This window comes from Homo sapiens, chromosome X, assembly GCF_000001405.40.
Source record: "Homo sapiens chromosome X, GRCh38.p14 Primary Assembly".
NCBI lineage: Eukaryota > Metazoa > Chordata > Mammalia > Primates > Hominidae > Homo > Homo sapiens.
The window spans coordinates 38,531,380-38,533,572 of NC_000023.11; the positions used below are offsets into that span (position 1 = coordinate 38,531,380).

General features: G+C 50.8%; 1 pseudogene; it reads right to left on the minus strand.

Annotated features, from left to right (window-relative positions):
* On the minus strand, positions 494-1,499 carry UBTFL11 (UBTF like 11 (pseudogene); annotated as a pseudogene).

The following is a 2,193-nucleotide window of genomic DNA, read 5'->3' on the forward strand; positions in this document are numbered from 1 at the left end:
TCAGAATGAAGCATCTTGTTTACGGCTTAATATATATGCATATAAAACACACTTCTGTCCACTCCCCCATAAGCGGGTCCAGGCAGCTCCTTCCTACAGAGGGTAGGGAAGAGGGCCATCAGGGCAGTGCCTATTTTCTCAAAGGCACTTACCCTCCCCTCCCGAAATGCTCCATGCCTCCAGTTCCAATACCGGGGGCCAGGCAGGAAGCCCCTCTGAAAAAGAAAGGGCCCCCCCAAAACTCCCACCCCACCTTGGTTTGAGCTGCAGTTGTGGAGGACCTTGCTGAACTCTTTGGCACCCCTCATTTCTGCTCCCTGTTACATCATCCAAGCCAGAAGCACAAGTCACAGGTAGGTGGGGTGGGGGGAACTGGTCTGGTGTTGGCTCAGTCAGGTGGTTGCTCTCCCTGGAGGACTCCCCAGGGCTGATGTCTCTGAGGCTGTAGAATCCTGATTTGGACTCCTCCAGCCCCATATTCCCACCATATTTTGTGAGGTGAGCTCCTGGGCTCTCACTGGCTGCCTGAGGGTGGGGCTGATCTCAGTTGGAGTCAGAATCTGAGGAGTCCCTTGAAGAGGAAGAGCTGGTGGATTCATTATCTTCATCCTCACTGCCATCCTCCTCATCATCTTTATCCTTGTCATCCTCCTTATTCTTGTCCCTATCTTTGATCTCATCCTCAATGCTGGACTTGGAGGAGTCCCCACCATCAGAGGAGTCACTAGTCTCATCATCTTCCTCTTCTTCCTCTTCATCCTTGCTGTCCTTCTCCTCAGACTTCTAATTGGACTTCAGGGTAGTCCAGCTGGACTTGGAGTTCAGGTCTCAAAGCTTAGTCATGCTCTTATGTTCATTGGAGATGTACTCTTTGTAAATTACATGGTCCTGGGGAGACAGACTCTTGATGCAGAGGCCCAGGTGTACCTTGCACACTTCTGCTGCTTCTTGGCCAGCTTTTTGTAGTGCTCCTTCTGGCTCTGGGAGATGTGCTGCCAGCGGCTGCCATTCTCCACCATGCGCTCCTTCAGTGGCAGGTGGTTCAGCTCCCCATTGGACAGCAGCTCCTGGGAACTGTTCATGGGAGGCTTCTTGGTTTCTCCCAGGAATTTTATCTTCCTGGAAGAGTTTCTAGCAACCAGAGGTGCCTGCATCTCACTCGGCTCTCTCTTGTATCACTTTTGGTGTTTAGCTGCCTTCTTAATCCATAGCAGTTTCTCCTTCTTCTTTATGTTATTCCAGGTCATCTCCATGGCTTTTGAGGCCTTCACCCAGTTGTTCTTCAATTGGGCCATGTAGTCACTAATGATGCTCTGTTACCAGATCTTCTCTGCTGTCTTGGGTGACTCTGGCAGCTTGCCCTGTGCCTGGTGCTCCCCCCTGGGCCTTGTTCTTGGCCTTCTTCTTCCCAGATCATTCCACATTTGGGCCAGCAGGTAGGTCCACTCACTCCCAGGGAGCTCAGGCTGCTCCTCCCACAGCTGCTACCACTTCTCCTCAAAAAAAAAAAAAAAAAAAGAAAAAAAAGAAATGAACACATCCAATATGGGCCACTTAGGCTTCTCTGAGCTGTCCTCACCCCCATCTTGGGGTGGCTTCTTGGAGGCCAGGCTGGTGGCTTGCTTCTTGTTGCTATTCAACATCTTCTCCTTCCCCAGGACCCACTACTGCTCCTCCCTGGGGAAGTCTCTCAAGTAAATGGAGGAGCTCCACCTCATAATGTTTCTTTTTCTGAATGCACTTCATGTGATAGGCATCCTTCTCCTTGTGGGAGAGGAGCTTCCACTGTTGGTTGCACAGCACCATGTACTCTCTGCTGGGTGTGTCCTTCATGTCAGCCATGAGCTCTTCTCAGTACGGCAAGTAGCTGTTGGGAAGTGGCTTGGTGGGTCATCCATCAAACTTGTCCTTGAGCTGCCATTCTCAGCCTTGGTGAAGGTGAACTTGGTGATGCCGACCCCACTGATATTCGGCTCAAGGTGCTTCTGGATATAGTCCCACATGGTCTCCTCATATTTCTTCTGCTGATCCAGGGCCTTACTAATCCATTTCAGCCTCTTGTTGTCCCAGAGCTGAGACCACTGCTTCTTAGGAAGTCCTTCACCTTCTTACCTGCTTCGTAGTGGCATCTGGGCTCACTTTGAAATACACCTTCTTCTCATGAGTGTACCACAGTTGCTGGGGAATTTGGGG